The sequence below is a fragment of the Homo sapiens genome, chromosome 12 (genome assembly GCF_000001405.40).
Source record: "Homo sapiens chromosome 12, GRCh38.p14 Primary Assembly".
Taxonomy (NCBI): Eukaryota; Metazoa; Chordata; class Mammalia; order Primates; family Hominidae; genus Homo; species Homo sapiens.
Genome location: NC_000012.12, coordinates 101,175,245 through 101,198,428, shown reverse-complemented (window position 1 = coordinate 101,198,428; position 23,184 = coordinate 101,175,245). Strand labels below are relative to the sequence as shown.

Below are 23,184 nucleotides of genomic sequence, written 5' to 3'. Positions count from 1 at the left end.
CGATAAGTTTTCTATCTTCTTATTTTGATATATCTTTCCAGTATTCTATTGATGTTTTAAATCTCTTCTAAGAATCAGTGTTTTGGCTCATTGATTTTCTTTGTTTTCTATTTCATTAATTTGTGCTATTTATTGTTTCTTTTCTTCTAATAACTTTGGGTTTTCTAGCTTCTTAAGGTAGGCGCTTAGGTCATTGATTTTAAATATTTCTTATTTCATAAAGCAAACATTTAAAGTTATTAATTTTTTTGAAACACTGCTTTATCTGCAGCCCATATATTTTGATACCTTGTGTTTTTATTTAGTTCTCAAAATATTTTCTAACTTCTCCTGTGATTTCTTTTGCCCATGGGTTATTTATAAGTGTATTGCTTAATTTTCAATATTTGAGGATTTTCTATCATGTCTTTTTGTTATTTATTCCTAAATTAATACTGCTTTGGTCAGAGAACTAATATGATTTTAATCATTTGAAATTTATGGATTTGTTTTATGGCCCAGGATCAGGTCTGTCTTGAACATTCCATATGCTCTCAAAAAGAATGTATATTGTGTGCTTTTTGGATGTAATGTTCTATAAGGTCAAAGGTTTAGTTGGCTAATAGTGTTATCACATCTTTGATATCTTTATGGAATTTGTTTTACTTGTTCTACCAATTGCTGAGAGAAGGATGCTAAAATCTCCAGATATAATTATCAATTTTTCTATTGCTGCTATTTCTCTGTCAATTTTTACTGAATGTATTGTGAGGCTCTTTTAAAGTCTCTTTTTAAATTTACAATCTCCCTTCTATTCCTTTTCATTTAAATTGCAACATATTTGCAGAAGAAACTGGGTTATTTGTTCTGTCCAGTTTTCCAGATTCTAGGTTTAACAATTACATCTGTATGGGGTCATTTAATGTTCACCATTCCTCTGTATTTCTTGTAAACTGGTAGTAGTTTACTAGTAGTAGTTAGATCTAGACTCTTTTTCAGACTCCACTTCAACTTTTTGGAAATCATATTTCATAGGCAATATCTATAAGTTTATTTCCTTCAGGAGTCCCAGAATGTCATTTGAAAAATTATCAGCAGCTATTGATGATCATTCTAGATTCATTATTTCATTGAGGCTTATAAAATGGAGTATTCTAGTTCTGTGAATTCTTCTTCATTAGTTAGATGGAATACTGCTATAAAGAGAAACTTCCTCTTATCAACTATTTGCTTTCTCTGAAAAATAGTTTGTATAGGAAAGGGAGGATAAATGTCAGATTTTTCCCCTTATGAATTTTAAAAATAATAAATTGGTTTCCTACTATCCCCCAAGGGTGACTGAGATTTTTAAAAAATTCTTACGAACTCATGGATTTAAAGGTTTGCTGTTATTTCATAGCATTATCGTTAGTATTATTATTGATGCTCAAATTGTCCCATTTTTATCCAGCCGGAGCCCCCTTAAGTTCCTCCTGATTTTAGCCTTGGCTGCATATTGGACTCACTTGCGGGGTGGGGGAGCTTTCAAAAATACCAATACCTCAGTCCCCATCACCAGAACTCTGAGTTAATTAGGCTGTTGAGTGGCCCAGTTATCAGGATTCCATAAATTTCCTCTGTTGATTTTAAGGTGCAGTCACAATTGAGAGCCATGGATGTAATAGTTTTAGAATAGCAACTCTAAGCCATAATGAATAATATAATGGCCTAACACAGTTAAAAATATTATTCTTTGTTGTTCTTTTTTCTTGGGTGTATCTCAGTAGGAATGTATGTTAAATTACTGTGTTAAATATTTTGTGACATGTTTCCTCTGTGTGGTAATGTCACAAACTTGATATACAGTTAGGTTCCATTTATTTCATTTTGCAATTGATTTTGAGGAGTTTTTTTTTCTAATTTAACTTTATATTTATGTGGAATATTTATGTGTTCCAAAGTGAAATCTATACATCAAAATATGTTTAAAGTAGCCTGACTTGTATCTCTGTCTTCTCTACCCTGTTTTCTCCCTCTCCTAGGAGTAATTTTTTGGCTTTGATTTATCCTTTAATTTTAGTATATGTACTGCTGAAACAAGCACAATTCTTTTCTTTTAAAAAAATGAAATAAAGTCCCCACTTCTTAGATAAATAGGAGCAAATTATAAAGACTTTTCTCCATCTAGATCCCATTTTGGTAGCACATATCTTAGTAACGCCTTCTTCAAGGACTGGTGAAATTGCGTGTTTACATGGACACACAGAGGAGAACAACACACAGTGGGGCCTATTGGAGGGTGGAAGGTGGGAGGAGGGAGAGGATCAGGAAAAACAACAAATGGTTTAATGGGTACTAGGCTTGATACCTGGGTGATGAAATAATCTGTACAAGGAACCCCCATGACACAAGATCACCTATGTAACAAACCTCCACATGTACATCTGAACTTAAAAGTTTTTTAAAAAGCATTACCGGCCAGGCGCGGTGGCTCACGCTTGTAATCCCAGCACTTTGGGAGGCTAAGGCAGGTGGATCACGAAGTCAGGCGATTGAGACCATCCTGTCCAACATGGTGAAACCCGTCTCTACTAAAAGTACAAAAAATTAGCTGGGCATGGTGCTGCGTGCCTGTAGTCCCAGCTACTCGAGAGGCTGAGTCAGGTGAATTGCTTGAACCCAGGAGGTGGAGATTGCAGTGAGCTGAGATCACACCACTGCACTCCAGCCTGGTAACAAAGCAAGACTTCGCCAAAAAAAAAAAAAAAAAAAAAAGGAATTACCATTACCTTTATTAAATTTCTGAAATCAGATCCGCAATCTGCAATGTTATAAAGATTACATTTGAATCCTTTCGTGTTGTCTTCATTTGAATCTATACATCATAGCAATTTGATATTGTCATTATATTGTCAGTATGATACATTATCCTCAAATTCAGGTATTTGCAACATTACATAAAAATAGAGTGTTTATTTGAACCGCGTCTAATCGGGAGAGAGATAAGAAATACCCATCACAGTATCAAGGAGTTTCTTAGCTTAATTACAATATAAACGCCTTTCCATGTATTGAATTAAGCCAGTGTCAGATCTGTGTGTCTGAGAGTAGAAAATTATCAAATACAATTTTAAACTCCATTTGTTTTTGAGACATTTATGAGATTTGGAGCTAGTTTTAGCTTTAGGCAAGTGGGTATAGAGGAAGGTGCCTGATAAATGATATAGCTTCCTTCTCTGATGATTTTTGAGGATTATTTTTATTGTGCATATTTCACAATTATATATGCATTCTATTTTTTTCTACAGTCACAGGATTTGATCTGTGGGGCGCGGTAGTGGCAACGGGGGTGGTCTGCACATTCTACTGCACACTGGTACGTCCAGGACATATTTCCCTTTTCACTCTACCCACTTGCTTTGCAAAATTGAAAATTCCAGTTGTTGTATACCGCAATCTTGTTTGTCCACACTTACTCTCCTATTCCCAACCTCCTGCAGTGTAACTTTTTTTGTGTGAGAAATAATCTGTAGTATAATTTGATCCTTTGTAGAAAATGGAGCATAACTGAAATTTTTTCTTTTATCTGATCCATTGCAATGGTTCCTAATCTTGTCTCTTGATTCATCTGTACTGTTGCCAAGTTATTATATTTGTGCTCATACTATTCCTCAGCTTAAAAACCTATCATAGGTCATAGGCACAGTGGCTCCCACCTGTAATACCAGCAATTTGGGAGGCCGAGGTGGAAGGATCACTGGAGCCCAGGAATTTGAGACCAGCCTGGGCAACAAAGTGAGACTCTGTCTCTACAAAAAAACAAAAAAAATTTTTTAAAATTAGGAGGCATGGTGGCATACACCTGTAGTCCCAGCTACTCAGGAGGCTGAGGTGGGAGGATCGCCTGAGCCCAGGAATTTGAGGCTGCAGTGAGCTGTGATTGCACCACCGCACTCCCGCTTGGGCAGCAAAGAAAACCCTGTCTCAAAACAAAAACAAATCTGTGATAACTTCCCCTTGCTTATAGGTAGGGGTGACAAAATATGCAAAATCAGTATGGCATGGCACTGATATTATTATGTGTGCTGGTCCGAGGCAGTGAGAAAATCTTATGGAATCCTTGACACTCTATGTCTTAACCCTTTAGGTGCTGGATCTTGTAGAAGATGGGGCCCTCAGCCAGGTGCTGGTTCTGCTTAGGTCATAGAGAAACTTGGGAAATTTCTTGTGGTGGCTAGTACAGATCACTTATAGTATATAACAGTGGAAATGACCATCTGAGTGAAAACCAATTAAATATCACCTCTGCCTGTAGGATAAAATTCATATTATTTACTAGTAATTTGACTCGGATTTTTCTTCCCAACAATCTCCCGACACCACTCCACTTTATTCTGTGGAATGTATCTGGCCCCATTCAGCATGCCATGTAGTTTCACTCCTTTATGTTTTTGCCCATGCTGTTTTCTCTGCTGGGCGGAACCTCCATCTTTGCCTCTGCTTATGTTTGAAGACTTGATTTAAATATATCCTTCTGTATGAAGATTCTCCCAACCTGACTGTTTCCCTTGAGTGCACTTCTTAGCCAACATTCATGTTTATATCATTTTTCTCCAGTATAGTGTATAAGTGTGTAGATGCTTAATAATGTCTAATAGAAGCATTAATCCTAATATACTTTCCCCTCAAAGGGTGGTCTTAAAGCAGTTATCTGGACAGATGTTTTTCAAGTTGGGATCATGGTGGCTGGATTTGCATCCGTGATTATACAGGCTGTGGTGATGCAAGGTGGAATCAGCACTATTTTAAATGATGCCTATGATGGTGGAAGATTAAATTTCTGGAAGTAAGTGTCTAGTACTTGGGTAACTGAACACATCTTTTGTATTCTATAAAAATAATCTCTTTATTGAAATAGTAGATTTACATTAAAAAACAAGCCAACAAATTGCTAAGGATGTGGTAGAGCAAATTGAAGCAGAGAAGTAAATACGTAAGGAGCCTCCCTCTGTTCTTTAAGGGATTAAACCTGTCAGATGGTACTTAGCTACATGGTGCTTAGAGCAATGTTTCCTTCTGAGAAGGGACTTAAAGCAAAAAAAGTATTTTCTTCCAGGTATTAAAGTCCAGAATAGGTTGAAAAGTGGGACAGGGTGATAAGGAAAGAGACAGTGGAAAGTTAAGAAAAGGCAGCTTCTGGCCAGGCACAGTGGCTCACACCTGTAATCCCAGCACTTTGGGAGGCCAAGGTGGGTGGATCACCTGAGGCCAGGAGTTCGAGACCAGCCTGGCCAACATGGCGAAACCCCATCTCTACTAAAAATACAAAAAATTAGCCAGGTGTGGTGGCAGGCACCTGTAATCCCAGTTGCTTGGGAAGCTGAGGCAGGATAATTGCTTGAACCCAGGAGGCAGAGGTTGCAGTGAGCCGAGATCACGCCACTGCACTTCAGCCTGTGCAACAGAGTGAGACTCTGTCTCAAAAAAAAAAAAAAAAAAGAGAAAAGGTAGCCTCTTAAGAGACAAACACTAGCATATTGGATTAGCACCTGCCATAAAAAAAAAAAAGAGACAGAGACAGACACTGAAAGACAGTGATTTCATTTTGACAATTCTTTGTTTTAAGCAACTTTGAGAGTTTCTCTTTTGATATTGCCCTGGCAATCTATAGTATATTAACATAGTAGCTTATGATTATGTATTATAATTCTATGTATGTGTATGTATTATATAATGAACATTATCTAATATGAAGTATTATTTCTAGAGAATTGACTAGGAAAGTTACAGTCTATGCTTCAAATGACAGTACAGCACATGATGTAACATGTTTTAAGCAGTTATTCAGTTTTCCTAAAGAAAGAACAATGAAGAGACTAGATATTTCATCCCAAGTATATCACACAATTCAAAAGAATATTGAAAACGCCTTCCGTTTTGGATCAATAGTGTTGTCCTTTTGCAATATGGAAAGGGACAACCCATGTTGTCTTGAATTAGCCTATCTTCTCTTTGAGATCGCAGCCCCGCTTTAACATAGGCAGTTTGAAGAAAAAAAAACCCATTTTGCACTTGGTGGCTCTTTTCTGGTCTTCTGAAAATAAGCACCAAAGTTTGAGAAAAAGCTTTTTCAGAAATTGGACAGGGTCAATGTGTTAATTTACAGGGATAAATTTTAGTGAATCAACTTTGACTATTTTCAATATTTCTTTCCTTCTTTTAGCTCAAGATTCAGATTCTAAGGAAAAGAGGCTCTAGTTGCCTAGCTTGGACCTTGGTTCCACCCCTTGGCCAGGGCAGAACAAGATATTTTGACTGATCGTCAATTGAGACTATTTAATGGAGAAATGGTAGTTTCCCCAAAGCAAACCTGGGTTGCTTTTACCAGAACAGGGAGGGGGGAAGTCCAGGAAGTGGAAACAACCAATGACTACTCTTGATTGCTCCCAAATCTCTTCCTGGTAGGCCAGGCTGAGGAGAGAGGGTATGGAACCAATCATTTTTCTGCAAGATAGCTGTCACTTTATATGAAGGATACATATATTGGAGCACAGAAGTGATAGCTTATACACATTAGTAAGAGATTTTTAAAAAAAGATTAAACATTTTTATGACCTTAGTTTTGAAAGTCATTAAGTAACAATAAAAAGCCTTATTTGTGTTTCATACTTTTCAAGAGTATCCCTTGTTATTCTGATATGTTTTGAGAATATGATAGACAAAGTATTGCTCAAGTTAAGATAAATGAAGAGAAGAAGGATATTGTATTGGTATTTTCTGTGTCGTCTGCCATTGGCCTATGTATTCTGTATGGCCTAAACCACTAAAGTGAGTGTTTTAAATCTTGTCATACTTCCCTCAGATAGCTTACTGGCTCCTTTTGGCTCTTCAGTTAGCTAATATAGTAGCTTCTCTCTCTTGGGGAGAAAGGGTCAACAGTCTTGAAACTCTTACACTTTGATATGAAATGTTAGACATGAAATAGAGGCTCTCACATTTCCATAAGAATGCCAGAATACACATACAATTAGAGCACTTAACTGATCTCAAATATAAGATTTGAAATGAATTTGCAAAATTTCATAATTTTAAGGAAGTCTCCATGAAAGCTAACTTTGCAGAAAGTTTTCTAGCTCATATTGTATATCAGAGATGAACAAAATCATTCCTTCCAGTAAAAAAGATTAAAAGATCTTTCAAACATGGAAGTTGAGCTTTCCCTGTGACAATGTTTTGGACTTATGTACATGATGTCATAAAGTGGCTTTAAACTATTAGTATTTAGCTTGCACGCACAGCATTTTAATAAAGCATGATTACAATGACATGCAGTTTTTAGAAAATGCAAAACTTGAAACTGCATTAATTGACTGATTTGTTGAACGTGAATATAGATTAGAACTATGATTACATGTGCTGGGAGAGGAATTCTATACACAAAATGTGTTGATTTCGTGTTCATTTTAGTGCCATCTCGTCTGCTGTGGTGCACTTAGGAATGTTTTTCTCTTTCTCTTTCTCTATGTTTCATGTTCTTCTCTGATTATATCATGTCAGATTTGTTTAAATGACAGTTTCCTTAGATCACAGGAGAACAAGTTATATAAATGCTCAGAAGGATTGCAACATTCATTTCCCCCAGTCTCTTCTAGTATTTTCAGATCTCTGAAAATAGTATTTTTTATTTCATTGAACTTAAGTTGGAAATATTTCTACCTTTTAAATTAATTAATAAATTTTTACATATTTATGTATGTGTTGTGTATATAAATGTGCATTGCTTGCTTCCAAATATAGTCTAAGAGAATTTTTTTTAGTCTCTGCTAATAGTTCAGATTTGTTTTCTGTTTCTTGTCATTTAGTTTTAATCCTAACCCTTTGCAAAGACACACCTTCTGGACAATTATTATAGGAGGGACCTTCACATGGACCAGCATCTACGGTGTCAACCAATCCCAGGTGCAGAGATATATTTCTTGTAAAAGCAGATTCCAGGCAAAACTGTAAGTCACACACCATGGTATATGAATCATTAATAACCATCAGTTGTCTTTATGGAAACTCTTTCATAAGTCACGTTTAGCTCCTTTATGTCTTTTGTGTCATGAAATTCCAAGAGATAAATGATATATTTGGTTACAAAAGGACCAAGAACAAATTGTTACTGTATGTTTTAAATCAGCTATTTGAAAATATTTATAGGAATTATTAATGAAAACAAATCAGCATTTATTGTGCATCTGTTTGCATAAGAACCCATGGGGGATAAATATATATGGCTTTTGTCTGAAGAAAATTAACCTCAAATTAGGAAAATACATGCAAGTATGTGAAAAAATAAAATAATACTGGAGATATGTAACAGTTTCATGAAATGATATAGCAATAGAGAAAATGTTCCAGAGTACATATAGTGCTTTATATTTCATTTTCAGACACAGTCATGGATTTATAACCCTGCTCTAATATTTGCTATTTGAGTGATCCTGGGCACATTCTGCAGTCTCTTTGAGCTGCAGTTTCTAAACTTGTAAAAGGAGCATAAGAAATACTATACACCTCATGGGAGGTGTCGTAAAATACTGTGTTTGGCATACGCATGGTAAAGGCCTAGTATATGTAAGTTCCTTTTTCCACTTCAACTGATGTGATGTGAAGGTGGAGGATGGATGAGAGATTCCTATTGAACTGGCAGAATGAATATGAAGAATGATCATAATTTGGGCAGGTGGAGAAGAGTAGGAAGGCATTCTAGGTAGGTGGAGTGATTTGGATGAACGCACAGAGGTAGGAAGGACAGCATGGTCCAGAACTCTCAAGCCCATCTTGGCTTGAGCAAAGAGTGTGGAATGGTGGCTGGTTCCTTCTCTGGAGGCCTCACATCACTGCAGTGCTCACCACTCCCTGTGCTGATAAATAGGCTGACTCTGCTGACATGCTTTTAGGGGCTTTAAAGCTCTAAGGAGATTGAATAAGAGTCCAGGGTGGATAGGGTGAGGGAAGGAGGACAATTCTATTTCTATTTAAAGGAGAAAATGAAAATATTGTGATGTCATATGTCAGAACTCAATATATTGAGAGTAAATTGGTTTAGAGATTACCTAAATCTTTGAAGAACTCACAGTGAAAAATCTATATGAATATGGATATAATAACCAGATATGGGATCCCCCCAAAATGAACTTAGGAATTCTGGTATTTTACGGAATATTGGAGGAATGTAATTTATAGATAGAGTAGTCTATTGTACTTTTAAATCTATACTAGAGCTGATACCTCTCCCAGAGTAATTGTGGACAAGCTCTTCTTCTCTTCCCTTGGGAACATGAAACCCAAAAAGCCCGACTTGATAACTTAAATAGCAGCATTAGAGCTTTCTTGATAAAAATCAATTCCCATAAGCATAGTAGATCTCCTGCATGAAGCAGACTCTCGAAACCCAGGGGACTCATTTTCGTCTGCCTTCTCACACTTACGCTATGGTAAGAATGAATCCCTGCTAAAAAACCAAGACCTACTGACATTGATTGACAAAAGACAGTATGAGATGTTGATAAGTGGTCAATCTGAATAGCATCAAAGTGAAATAAAACAATATATTAAACTCATATATAAGAGACAGGAGGTGTTTGGACAAGAGAGTATCTGGGCATAATTTTCTGGTGATTTGGAGATGAGCTAGCAATAGCAAAACATACTGCAATGTTAGTCAATTCAAGGGAGAAGGATAAATCTGATAAACCCACCTTTGATTCTTCCGGAAGCAGACTCTGAGGTTGAGGTTAGCATGGAAGAGTTTATCAGAGAATCGCTATATGTAGAAGGGAAGAAAAGGAAACAGGATTGACGAGAGGGAGACGCTGGACTGTAATGCAGTCTGAACAGAGGCCTCAAAGGGAGCTCTAGAGCTAGGGTGGCTCTTCAGACTAGTCCCATGTTAGGGTGAGGGGACTGGGCCTTTAAACCTCTGAATCCATTTGTCATTGGATGCAGACTTCCTGCGGGGGTTGGGAAGAAGGAGGCATGACTTCAGGGATGGTACCTCTTTTCCACCTCGGGCAGCTCATCACTGTCCACTACAGCACCAGTGGAAAAAATATGTAGCCATCTTAGCAAGAGAAATGTTTACTATTCAACTGATTATTAAGACATAGGATTCAATAACACTAACACTAATATCAATAACTAGTATTTAACAGGGGTTTATTATGTGTAAGTACCATGCTATATGATAATATACTGTTTCATTTAGTTTTATAACTTTGTGACATAGGCATTGCTATCCTACACTTCAGTGAAGAAACTGAAGATCAGAGAGGTTGAATTACTGGCCCAGGGTCACTTATGGTACAGCCAGGATTTATGCTCAGGACTGGCTCCAGTGCTGTGTGTAAACCTTTATTCTCTACTGGAGCACACACAGTATATTACAGTGCTGAATATTGTTTGAGAAGATACCTGTCCAAGGAATACAGATTTGCATTCCTACTTAATGTGTGGTCTTATAAACAACATTTAAACAAGTTTCATGAGTTACTGTGTAAATGTTAACAATGTTTAGCAGTTTACAATTGCATTACTTTTAAAAGGAAAATGAGTAATAGTTAATGCTCGATTGACTATTAAAATCTTTATTTCATGACAAGAAGACCTGAAGTAGTATAACTAGGTACCTTTATAAAGCTAACAATGCCCCTGGAGCTCCGACCACGAGCATACACTCTTTCATGGGGAAATCCCATCCATTCAAATATTTCCAAATACACTGTCGATTGATTGGTATCATAAGCAGAATATTAGGCTAGAATAAAATAAGTAGAGTTTTCGATAATCAAAAGATAATGTACATTTATTGAGTCTAATCATGAAGGTCTCTTTTGATCATGTAACAGGTTTCCTAATCTTTGGGACAGAAATTACAGTTGTCTTTTGCTGGTTTGTTTTCACTTCTTTAGGTCTCTCTACATCAATCTTGTGGGACTCTGGGCAATCCTCACATGCTCAGTGTTTTGTGGGCTCGCCCTATATTCCAGGTACCATGACTGTGATCCTTGGACAGCCAAGAAAGTGTCTGCACCAGACCAGGTTCAGTACCATGTCTTTCTTACAGGTGTATTAATAATATTCAAAAAGCTTATTAGTTGAGAGGAAAGAGCATTCATATTCTTGTAGAGAAACGGAAAGTGGACATGCCATCATCATCTTACATTTCTATAAAACTTTGTTAAGAATTTATTTTAGCAGATATAGCAAGAATGAAGAGTACTGCATCTAAAATGAAAATATGGAAATACCAGGAAAAAATCAAGCAGAGTGTTAAATAGGAATAGCTCAAGGTTGGGAGTAGGAATGTGAACACAGTTTTTTGTTGTTGTTGTTGTTTGTTTGTTTGTTTTTTAAACTACACAAACCATTGTACTATAGAACATTTTGTGGGTGTTTGTTAGAGCATTCATTTATAAGCAATTTATCTTCCAATTTTTTAAATGATGGAGAGATGGATCCAATAAGTGAATATTTACTGAGTACCAACTATGTGGTGAGATTCTGTGCCAAGAGCTTAACATGCTTCATTTAATTCTCACAACCCTGCAATCCTGATTTTACAGATGAGGAAATGCTTCTCAGAGAGGTTATATAACTTACCCAAGGTCACATTGCTAATAAGTAAGAATAACTATGAGCAGTTATCAAATACCCACCATGGGCCAGGCACTACCATAATGCTTCATATAAATTTCAACTTTTAATCTTCACAGTCACCCTCTGATGTAGGTTCTATGATTATCTGCCTTTCAAAGATGAGAGAACTCAGGCCTAGAGAAGTTAAGTGAATAACTAGCTAGTAACCTGGAGCCAGGATTTAAAACCAAGCAAGCTGCCACCAGAGTCCTAACTTTGAACCTCTGTGCCATTTATTGTCTTTCAAAAAGGGGAACTAGAATTCAAACACAGGATTGCCCAACCCTAAAGCCTGAGTTCTTGCCAAAATTATTTTCTAAGACTCACTTGCGGAACAAGTTCCTAGGGGATTCATTAGAATGAAAATAGATTGAATTTCTGTTGATGCAAATGCATCTCATGCTCCCAGAAAAATACAACTTGGTGGGCCGAGAAAATAAAAACACCCTGGAGCTGTTTCTCAACCCTATCTTAACTTATGCCCTCCTTTTGATAAACACACCCTCTCTGTTCTCTCAGAGAAGGTAAGAATCACGTTTACTATGAAGATGGAGGCACACTTGTTACATCCCCTCTAATAAAGAATATTTTGTGACTGTTATCAATCTGTATTGTCTGTAGTTTGTATCATGAAGACAATAACGACTTTAAAAAAAAGTTTGTAATATACTTTGCCTTTACCCTGGGCCAAAAAAAAAAAAAAAAAAATCCCTACGGCTTCCTACCTTTGAGACATCTTGTAGAATACATTCAGGGTGTCTTGCTTGCATACGCTTAGAGAGTCCGTGAAGATTTCTCCCCAACTGATATATTTCCAGGACTGTGTTAGTTAACAAGTTAATTCAATTAACACTTCACTGGGGATACCATGCAAATAAGACAGTGGAAGATCGTGTCAAAACCTTATCCTCGCTCAGTCGTGGTGGCTCACGCCTGTAATCTTAACACTTGGGAAGGCTGAGGCAGGCAAATCACTTGAGGTCAGGAGTTCGAGACCAGCCTGGTCAACATGGTAAAATCCGTCTCTATTAAAAATACAAAAATTAGCCGGGCGTGGTGGTGGGTTCCCATAATCCCAGCTACACAGGAGGCTGAGGCAGGAGAATTGCTTGAACCTGGGAGGTGGAGATTGCAGTGAGCCGAGATCGAGCCACTGCACTCCAACCTGGGTGAGAGAGGGAGACTGCCTTAAAACAAACAAACAAAAAATACAAAAAAACCCCTTATCCTCAAGAGAGCAAGGATATGTTTCTCTATGCTCTGCTGGCATTTGCCCAGAGGAAGCAGGCCAGTTTCTAGATATAGTTTTACTATTTTCCTCTCCATCAATCCTATTTCATTGGTTCTACCTATACTTGAGGGGGCCACTCAGATACGAAATAATTACACCACAGATTTTTGAGAAAGTTGAAGATAGGATAGAGGATTTTGGACCTTTTTATAACACTATAGATGGAACCTACTTTTGCTATTTGTGGGACATTGTTTAAAGTTAAACCTTTATGATATCTTGGAAAAATTGGGTCTTGATCTCATATAGGGATAAATGCTATTCCGTTTTTCTGAGAATAAAGATTGAGTAAGCTTTGGAAAAGTGGAGAACACAGTCCTAAAAGAACTGAAACAATCCTAATGTTGAAACATTTCTTTTCAACAGTGGAGGAAGTTCTTCCATATCCCATGAGCACACTATTGTTAAATGAAATTGAAGAGGCTATGGAAGCCGATAAAATAGGACATGTCATCTACTCTGTACTGTGGGAGAAGTAATCAATAAGGTTTTAGTGCAAATGAGAGGACACTCTTCGAGAAAATTGTCCACTTAGGACTCTTTTGATTCGGAAACTGATTTTGTAGAAAAACTGCCATGCAACAGAGTCCTGAAGTCACACACTTGATTATCCTAATTTGATATTTATTTTTTAAAATATAAGTTATCAAAAAGCAAGTTAGTATCAGGAAGTTTTTTAACAGAAGCAAGTTTAAGGGATTTCCTGAAGTCATTCTCCACCCATCATTATGTCTCGTACCTGATGCACCTAAAATTACATCTTCTGTCCTGGGCAGTGACTGAAGTTCACAAAATGGCCTTGAGTCATCAAGTAAAGTTAAGTGGATGCTGCTTACTTAAGCACAGAGGTGTGTCAAATATTTCCTTAAAGACAACTTATTATTCTCAAGAATAGCAACTACTTTGTTTTGAGCATTTATTATATTCCATATACTATACTATGAGTTTTACATAAATTATCTAAATTAACTTTTACAGCAACTCTATGAGGTTAGTATTATTACAACTATTCTATAGATGAGGAAACTGAGGCTCAGAACTTCAGTTACAAAAGCCGTATCTGTGTGAATCCAAAGCCTCTTTACTTAACTACTGTGCTATTCGTTTCTCTAAGTGTTAGTAGTTAAACAGTTTAATTTTAGGTATTTGAAAATTTCATTTGTGTGGAATAACTCCTTTCAGTTCCCGAAGGAGACAAGACAAATGATAAACTAGGCATTCATTAATTTTATTCAGTAGCGAAAGTACTTGGAAATAAATTTTGGAATTTTTCAGCTCATGCCTTATTTGGTACTGGACATTCTGCAAGATTATCCAGGACTTCCTGGACTTTTTGTGGCCTGTGCTTACAGTGGGACATTAAGGTATGAACTATGACTCTAATAACATATGATTTCCCTGTTGGGATCTTTCTTTTATTATTAGATACTTTAGCGGGATAATGTGGAGTTCTGGGCACAGACACAGATGGCCCAAAGTAGGCAATCTGCTGTATGTGTCCTCTCTGTGGTCTGACTTATCTCTGTGGACTAGCGTCCTGTTGTCATCGGCTCCACTTTTAACTAGGTCCCTGCTCTCTAATACACCACCATACATCCTATGATGTGATACCTATGGTCACAATAATGACGATCGGTTGATGGTAGCTTTCACTGGTGATCAAAAATGGGTGCCACAGTCTTGATTGAAAACACACATGGGGCTGAAGCGTGGTCAACTGGAAAATTAGAATGAAATCTTCCATTTACATGTTGAATAATATATACTGCCCAAAGAATCTTACATTTTGTGATCTATCATTGCCCTTTCTCCTTGCGTTTGTTCCAGAGAATTGTTATTATCAACATGTACAGTGTGTGTTAGTGGGGATTCAGGAAATTAATATTGTTGATATTTACAGCACATGGTAGGGAGGACTTATGACAGTCCTTTCTATGCACAAAGAAAAATACATTTTAAAGTTGTTATGCATAGGAATACGGAGTAATCTATGTAGACTCTTTTAGACACTGAGGATTAACAGCAAGTGGAAGCAACATGAACATATCCTTTCTCTTTTACTGTCAAGCCTGTAGATATTGCCTGAATATCATTTTTGGATGATAACAGTTTCAAGAAAGACAGTGCTGTGATTATTAAAAATAGCATAGTAGAGCCTGGTGTAGTGGCTCACGCCTGTAATCCCAGCACTTTGGGAGGTCAAGGCGGGTGGATCATGAGGTCAGGAGATCGAGACCATCCTGGCTAACACAGTGAAACCCTGTCTCTACTAAAAATACAAAAAATTAGCCAGGCTTGTTGGCGGGCGCCTGTAGTCCCAGCTACTTGGGAGGCTGAGGCAGGAGAATGGCGTGAACCCGGGAGGCAGAGCTTGCAGTGAGTCGAGATCATGCCATTGCACTCCAGCCTGGGCGACAGAGCGAGACTCCGTCTCAAAAAAAAAAAAAAAAAAAAAAAAAAAAGCATAGTAGAAATCAGGTTATATTTTAGAAGTGACAATTTGTTTCCCCCTTTCTCATTCCCACTTAAAGTATTATTAAAGGTAAAATATTATAAATCAAAAGTTTTATTTTCCCTTACAGCACAGTGTCCTCCAGTATTAATGCCTTAGCAGCAGTAACTGTGGAAGATCTAATCAAACCTTACTTCAGATCGCTCTCAGAAAGGTCTCTGTCTTGGATTTCCCAAGGAATGAGTAAGTTTCTGTTTTCATAATTCCATTTTAGCTCAGAGAGATGATTTTTTGAGACACAAAAATTTCTTTTCCACTGAAGCTACAGAGGAAGGACCTCTGAATATGACTGGATATCCACATATGTATGCCTATGACAATGCAGATTTTTAAAAAATGTTTGTATCAATGTTTAATGTTACCATATCTGTAATCAAGATTTGGGAGACACTTCAAACAATTAATTGTCAGTGAACCACAAAGGACAATTTCCAGGGGACCGATTTAGCTGTCCTTTTTTCCTGTGCCTTCATCCTATCCTAAATTTGTGTTAAAATTCTTAGCCACACACACAAAAAATTCAACTATTTTCCTTTTCAACTGTAGTCCACAGTTCTAAGAAATATCCCTAGTTTGTAACCAAGAGCCACACTTTTTCTGTTACCTAAGAAGGCACTGTCAGTTTCAGTTATGTTGTCTTCCCATAAACACTTCCCAAATGTTTACAGAGGATTAGATTAAATTAGATTAATAGATTAGATGAATTGAAGATAAAGAAACAGAGTGTTATGAATTTTGACTCGTCTTAGTTGTCTGTTCTGTCTGCTTATGTACACTGTCCTGGAGATGAACTATAAATTTGTGCAAGAAATTCTCAACTTCTGTTCTGTTCAATCGTAGAGCCTCATTAGGGGTTAAATACCAGCTTGAATAGAGTGGTTTAAGCATCTTCAGTTCCCAGATGTCTCAAATGTAATATCCAACTCAAAGAAATCTTGCCAATGTACTGCATTCTTCATTTTGACACCTTGAAATGCATGACTAACAAATTCCTTTTCGAGAAAGAATCTTTAACCTCAACACAATAACATCAATAGACTGTCAAAGAAATAGTAAATTATACCCCATTAGTAGCCATAATTCTATGTAAAATTGCCACAACTGTAGCCTGAAATGAGTCCTTAATTTATATCCTTCAGTATTCCCTAAATTTAAATAGCAATGCATCATTTTATTATGTACCCAATTTTAATCCTGGAACATAATTTCAGAATGATGCAATGCTTCCTAAAGGGTTTTTAGACTGGTTCATTATGGGATTATTGAAGCTGTGTGGTTTAGTAGAATGAATAGATGAATAGATGCTTTTGAAGCCAGACAAACCCAGTCTTGCTTTGTTAATTTACTAGCTGTTAACCTTGAGAAAATCCAGTTACCCATACAAGCCTCTATTTCTCTATATAGGAAATGGGCACACAAATACTTTGCAGAATTGGGTTTTGAGATAATGCATATAAAACGGGAGGCACTGGCTGGTGCTCATGGAATGATGTTGATGAATGACAAATCAACTCTGCTAATATAGACGAGACTTTCATTCATTTTAAAGGGTACTATGAAATCACAATCTTGAAGTATATGCAGTAAGGACATAGAGAAGAATGTGGCAGATGATTTGAATGTGTTTCCAATAACTTTGAATTCCCAAAATTATAATGGTGACTATTCATAACCTATCAAATGGAGAATCAAACCAAATATATTGAAAATATTATTTACATTAAAATTGAGAGGCGTAAAAATCATAGCAATGAGAACTCTTCAAAAAAATCAATTTAAAATTTTTCATTCAGATGCATTATTTACTCAATACGTTTAACAAAGGTATGAATGCTAAAATAAAATAGAAATAACATAAGGAATACAAAAATTTTATGATGGACAAATTTCCCATTCATTTTTTTTCTGTATATTGAGTTTTGCATTTGGGAAATTATATCAACTGATTTCAGGTGACTTTTGCTGAATGGAAGTATTAAAACAAAGGGGGTTTTTTTGCATGATATTTCCTATAATTTAAAAGGTAATACATGTACCTGGAGAAAATTTAGAAAATACTGAAAGTCAATAGAAAAAAATATTCCACAATCTGACCACCAGTGGTGGTTTGAAAACTTTTATAAAGAAGTTTGGGCTGAGTGTGGTGGCTCACACCTGTAATCCTAGCACTTTGGGAGGCCAAGGTGGGAGGATCACTTGAGCCCAGGAGTTTGAGGCCAGCCTGGGCAACATAGCGACACCCCGTCTCTATGAAAAAAAAATTTTTTTAAAGAAGTCTGGGGAAAACAACTTAGCATTAGGGCAGATGTGCTACTTATCCAGAAGTTGCCTTTCTTTGCTAGTTTAATAGGAAGGGCTTGAGGATACTGATGGAGATTATGAGGGGGCTAAAAGTCGTCCAACACCCCATAGTGTCCATTGCCACTTCCCAAGGGAAATGAATGCTTAAAGTCAGAAGAGTCTAATTTCTGTTTATTACTCCTTCTCTCACCTTGTACAGAGCAGAGCTGAATAGTATTCTATTTTTGGCAAGCTGAAAACAGAGACCTGAGCCTTTCTTTATATACAAATGTTTATGGATGATTAGATTAATAACACAATATAGTTCTTAGTTTTAAATACCTATAGTTTATTCCAGGAACTCTTTACTTATATAACCTACTGTTGTAACTAATCCTGGGACACAATGTAAGGGCTTCGTCCTCTTGAAACACTGCTGATCCTAGAGGAAAATAGCCATTTCCTTTATTCACTGGCTCTGATGTGTGTGGCCATTCTTCACCACAGTCATATTATCCACTTTGAATCAAAGGTGTGGTGGATTATTCTATTGAGAATTCTAATTCTCTGGGTGTGGATTTTACACTGGCTTTTATGTTGTCCATTTAGGTGTGGTGTATGGAGCCCTGTGTATTGGAATGGCTGCGCTGGCGTCACTTATGGGAGCTTTGTTGCAGGTGAGAGCTGGCCCCTGGAGGTTTAAGTCATAAATCACTAAATCTTTTTTCAATGTTGATGTGACCATCCTTCCAGACTTCTCTCGATATATATCGACACCTGGACATATCAAGTGGCAGGGATGACTACACTTTTTAATTTTTTTTAATTAAACTTTGTGTTTTGAGATAATTGTGGATTTACATGCAATTGTGAGATATAATACAGAGAGATCTCATATACTCTTTACTCAGTTTCCCTCAGTGGTAACATCTTGCAGTGGTAACATCTTGATAGTACAATATCAAACTCATATATTGACATTGATATAGCCAAGATACAAAACATTTCTATCACTACAAGAATCCTTGCTGTTGCCCATTTGTAGCCACAACCACTTCCCTTCTGCCCCTACTCCCTCCTTAATCCCTGGCAACAACTAATCTGTTTTCCATTTCTATAATTTTACCAGGTCAAGAATGCTACATACATGGAATTACATAGAATGTAACCTTTTTCACTTGGCATAATTCCCTGGAGATTCATCCAGGTTGTTGCGTATGTCAATAATCTGTCCTGTTTTATTATCAGATAGTATTCTCTGGTAGGGATGTATCACAGTTTGTTTACCTACTCAGCTGATGAAGGACATCTAAATTGTTTCCAGTTTTTGAGTATTACAAACAAATCTGTTACAAACATTACATAAAGGTTTTTGTGTGAGCATAAGTCTTCATTTCCCTGGGATAACTACCCAGGAGTGCAACTGTCAGGTGACTGCTAAATGTCTACTTTTAAAAGAAACTGCCAAACTATTTTCCAGAGCATGTCATTTTTATATCACTAGCATAGACAAATGGCCCAGTTTAAACCTCATTCTTTCCAGCATTTAGTGGTGTCTTTTTTTTTATATTAGCCATTCTGATAGGCATATAGTGATATCTCATTGTAGTGTTAATTTGCATTTCCCTAATGGCTAATGATGTTGAAAATGTTTTTCAGCGACTTATTTTTCATCTATGTATCTTCTTTCATACATTATCTCATAATGTCTTTTGCTCATGTTCTAATTCAATTGTTTGCTTTTTTTACTGGTGAGTTTTGAGTGTTCTTTATGTATTCTGTATACTAGCTCTTGGTCAGATGTGGTTTACAAATATTTTCTTACACAGTAGTTTGTCTTTTTATCCTCATAACAGGGTCTGTCAAAGTGCATTTTTTTTTTTAGTTTGGATAAAGTCTAGTTTATCAATTTGTCCTTTCATGGATTGTGTTTCTGGTGTAAAGTCTAAGAACTTTACCTAGCCCCAGCTTTTGAAGATTTTCTTCTATGTTTCTTTTCAAAGAGTTTTAGAGTTTTACATTTTATATTTAAGTCTACAATCCCTTTGGAGTTAATTTTGTATAAAATGTGAGACTTAGGTTGACATTCTCTTTTCCTCTATGGATGTGCAACCAGCACCATTTGTTGAAAAGGCTTTCTTCCATTGACCTGCCTTTACACCTTCGTAAAACGTCCATTAGGCATATTTGTGTGAGTCTATTTCTGAATTCTCTGTTTTCTTTCATTTATTTATGTGTCTGTACTTCTGCCAATACCACACAGCTTTATAATTTGATTATTTTGATTACTGCAGCTTTAAAATAAGTTTCAAGATCAGGTCGATCGATTCCTCCCACTGTATTCTTATTTTTCGAAATTGTTTTAGCTATTCTAGTTCTTTTGCCTTTCCATATGAAGTCTAGGATAATCTTGTCTGTATCTACAAAAAAAATCTTGCTTAAATATTGATAGCCTGAAAGCTTTTTATCCATTTGAGAAGAAATGACATCTTTACCATGTTGAATTTTCTAAAACATGAACATGGTATGTCTCTTCATTTATTTAGCTTTTCTATGCAAATCGTATTTTTTATGTTGATGTCTATGTGTTCAATGCTAAAATGTAGAAATAAAATTGATGTGTTTATATTTATCTTCAATCTTGTGACCTTGCTGAGCTCACTTATTAGTTCTGATAATTTTTTGCTTCTTTGTTTTATGGTTTAGTTTGTTTTGTTATATTCCTTGAGATATTCTACATAAACAGTCTTGTCATCTTCGAATGGGGCAGTTTTATTTCTTTCCTTCTGATCTGTATGAATGCCTTTTATTTCCTTATTGCACTGGCTTCAACTTCCATATCATGTTGAATAGAAGTAGTGAGAGTGGAAATCCTTACCCAGTTCCCCAATGTGAACAGGAAACTCTCTATTCCTATTCTCTATTCCTATTTTTTTCTGAGAGTTTTCACCATAAATGGCAGTTGAATTTTTTCAAATGCTTTTTCTGTAATCAATTTATATGATCATGTGATCTTCTTCTTTAGCCTGCTTACAGGATGGATTACATTGATTGGTTTTTTAATGCAGAACCAGCCTTGCATACCGGGAATAAACCTTGTTTGGTCATGGTGTGTAGTTATTTTTATATATTGCTGAATTATATGTGCTAATATTTTATTAAGAATTTTTACATCTATGTTCATGAAGGATATTGATCTGTAGTGGTGTGTGTGTGTGCATGCATGCGTGTGTGTGTGTGTGTGTGTGTGTGTGTGTGTGTATATACTGCCTTTGGTTTTGATAGCAGGGTTATACTAGCTTCATAAAATAAATTGGGAAGGATTCTGTTTTCTATTTTCTAGGAGAGATTGTCTAAAATTAGTGCTAATTCTTCCTTAATTATTTGGTAGAATTCTCTAGGGAAAGCATCTGGGCCTGGATTTTTTTTAGTTTCAAAATTATGAATTTAATTTCCTTAATAGTTACAGAGCTATTCAAATTATCCATTTCATATTCGATGAATTGTGACAATTTATGTTTTTGAGGAATTGTTCCATTTTATCTAAGTTTGCAAATTTATACATGTATAGTTGTTCATAGTAGTTCTGTACTATCCTTTGGCATCTGCAGGACCTGTAGTGATAGCCCCTGTTCCATTCCTAATATTGGTAATTTGTATCTTATTTTTTTCAGTCTTGCTACAGGTTTGTCAATTTCATTGATGTTTTCAAAGAACCAGCTTCTTTTTTTCATTGATTTTTCTGTGTTGTTTTTCTGTTTTCACTCATTGATTTTTAACTTTTATCTTTATGATTTCTTTTCTCCTTGCTTTGAGTTTTAATTTGCTGTTTTCGAGGTGGGATCTTAGATTACTGATTTGAATCTTCTCCTCTTTTCTAATGTGTGCATTTATTGCTGAAAATTTCCTTCTTGGCACCAGTTTAGCTGTGTTCCACAACTTTTGACATCTTGTATGTTTGTTTACATTCAGCTGAATGTATTTTTATGTTTTCTTTGAGATATTCTTTTGATTTATGGATTATTTAGAAGTATGGTACTTAGTTTGCAAGTATTCAAAGATTTTCCTGTTATCTTTCTGTTATTGATTACTAGTTTGATTCTATTGTGATCAGAGAACACACTCTTTATGATTTCAGTACTTTTAAACTTGTTGAGGTCTGTTTTATAACCTAGGATATGGTATTTTGGTATATGTTCCATGAGCACTTGAAAAGAATGTGTATTCTTTTTTTATTAGGTAGAGTGTTCCATAAATATCAATTACATTCTGTTTGTTGATGGTTGCTGATTTTCTGTTTGGTTGTTTTATCAATTGTTGAGAGAGGGGTGGTGAATTCTTCAACTATAATTGTGTATTTGTCTATTTCCCTTTTAGTTCTATCAGTTTTTGCTTTGCTTCATGCATTGGGTCTTAATGAAGGATTAACCTTTTTGTTATTATATAATGTGCCTATCTGTCTCTGAGAAATTTTTTTGCTGTGAGGTGTATTTATTTTATATTAATATAGTTACTTCTACTTTCCATTGATTAATGGTTGCATAGTATATTTTTCCATTTTTTCACTTTGAACCACCTATGTTGCTATATTAGAAGTGAGTTTTTTTGTAGACAGCACACAGTTGAGTCTTTTTTAAAAATCCATCCTGTCAATCTCTGTCTTTTCATTGGTGTACTTAGACCATTCACATTTAATATAATTATTGGTATGTTATGTTAGGGCTTAAGAATCAGTTTTTAGTTGTCTGTTTGGTATTTCTGTTTTTTGTTTTCTGCCTTCCTGTGAGTTGTTCTGTGGTTCCTTCTTTCTACCATTTCCTTTCTGTTTAGAAAACTTCTTTTAGCCATTCTTTTAGTGTTCCTTCACCTGAGAATGTCTTGAGTTTCCCCTTTATCCCCAAAGGATATTTTTGTTGGGTATATGATTCTGAGTTGCTAGTATTTTTTCCCCAGGAGTTAAAAAAATATTTTTCTACTTTCTTTTTGTCTCTATCATTTCTGATGATAAATCTGCTACTATTCTAATTGTTTTCCCTTACAGGTAAGGAGTCATTTCTTTCTGAATGCTCTCAGGTTTTTTTGTTTTGTTTTGTTTTGTTTTTTCTTTAGTTTTCAGAAGTTTAATTATGATGTATCTTGGTGTGTATTTCCTTGTTTTGAGTTTTTGATGTGTCTTGGCACGTGTTTCTTTCTTTTCCTATGTTTTTAGGGTTACTCAGCTTCTTGAATCTTGAATCAGCTTCTTTCATAAGTCTGAAAGAGATTTATGTCTCTTATCAAATTTGAGAAGTTCAGACATTAATTCTTTGAGTACTTTTCCACCCCATCTTCTTTCTCTTTTCCTCTGGGACTCTCATGACATGAATGTTAAATATTTTTGTTATAGTTCTACAGATCCCTGAAGTTTATTTTATATTTCTTCATTTCATTTCTCTCTATTGTTCAGTTTGGGTTATTTCTG

General features: G+C 35.9%; 1 protein-coding gene across 3 annotated transcripts in view, besides 1 other annotated feature; it reads left to right on the top strand.

Moving 5' to 3' along the window:
- Positions 1-23,184, top strand: part of SLC5A8 (solute carrier family 5 member 8) — a 54,746-nt gene that overhangs the window by 11,810 nt on the left and 19,752 nt on the right. For all 3 annotated transcript variants that reach the window (XR_007063055.1, NM_145913.5, XM_017018910.3), the window contains exons 4-10: positions 3,267-3,334; positions 4,650-4,804; positions 7,821-7,961; positions 10,914-11,043; positions 14,207-14,295; positions 15,514-15,626; positions 18,333-18,400. Coding sequence is in view for 2 of the 3 variants with exons in the window: in NM_145913.5 (NP_666018.3) it covers positions 3,267-3,334; positions 4,650-4,804; positions 7,821-7,961; positions 10,914-11,043; positions 14,207-14,295; positions 15,514-15,626; positions 18,333-18,400 (764 nt within the window). In the remaining variant the exon portion in view is untranslated. The remainder of the gene's footprint in view (positions 1-3,266; positions 3,335-4,649; positions 4,805-7,820; positions 7,962-10,913; positions 11,044-14,206; positions 14,296-15,513; positions 15,627-18,332; positions 18,401-23,184) is intronic.
- Positions 3,607-3,794: a silencer, noted in NCBI's record as "fragment chr12:101588413-101588600 (GRCh37/hg19 assembly coordinates)". NCBI's record gives its function as "represses an EF-1alpha promoter that drives an FKBP-Casp9 reporter gene in an ReSE screen in HepG2 liver carcinoma cells {active_cell/tissue: HepG2}" and the evidence as "EXISTENCE:reporter gene assay evidence [ECO:0000049][PMID:32094911]".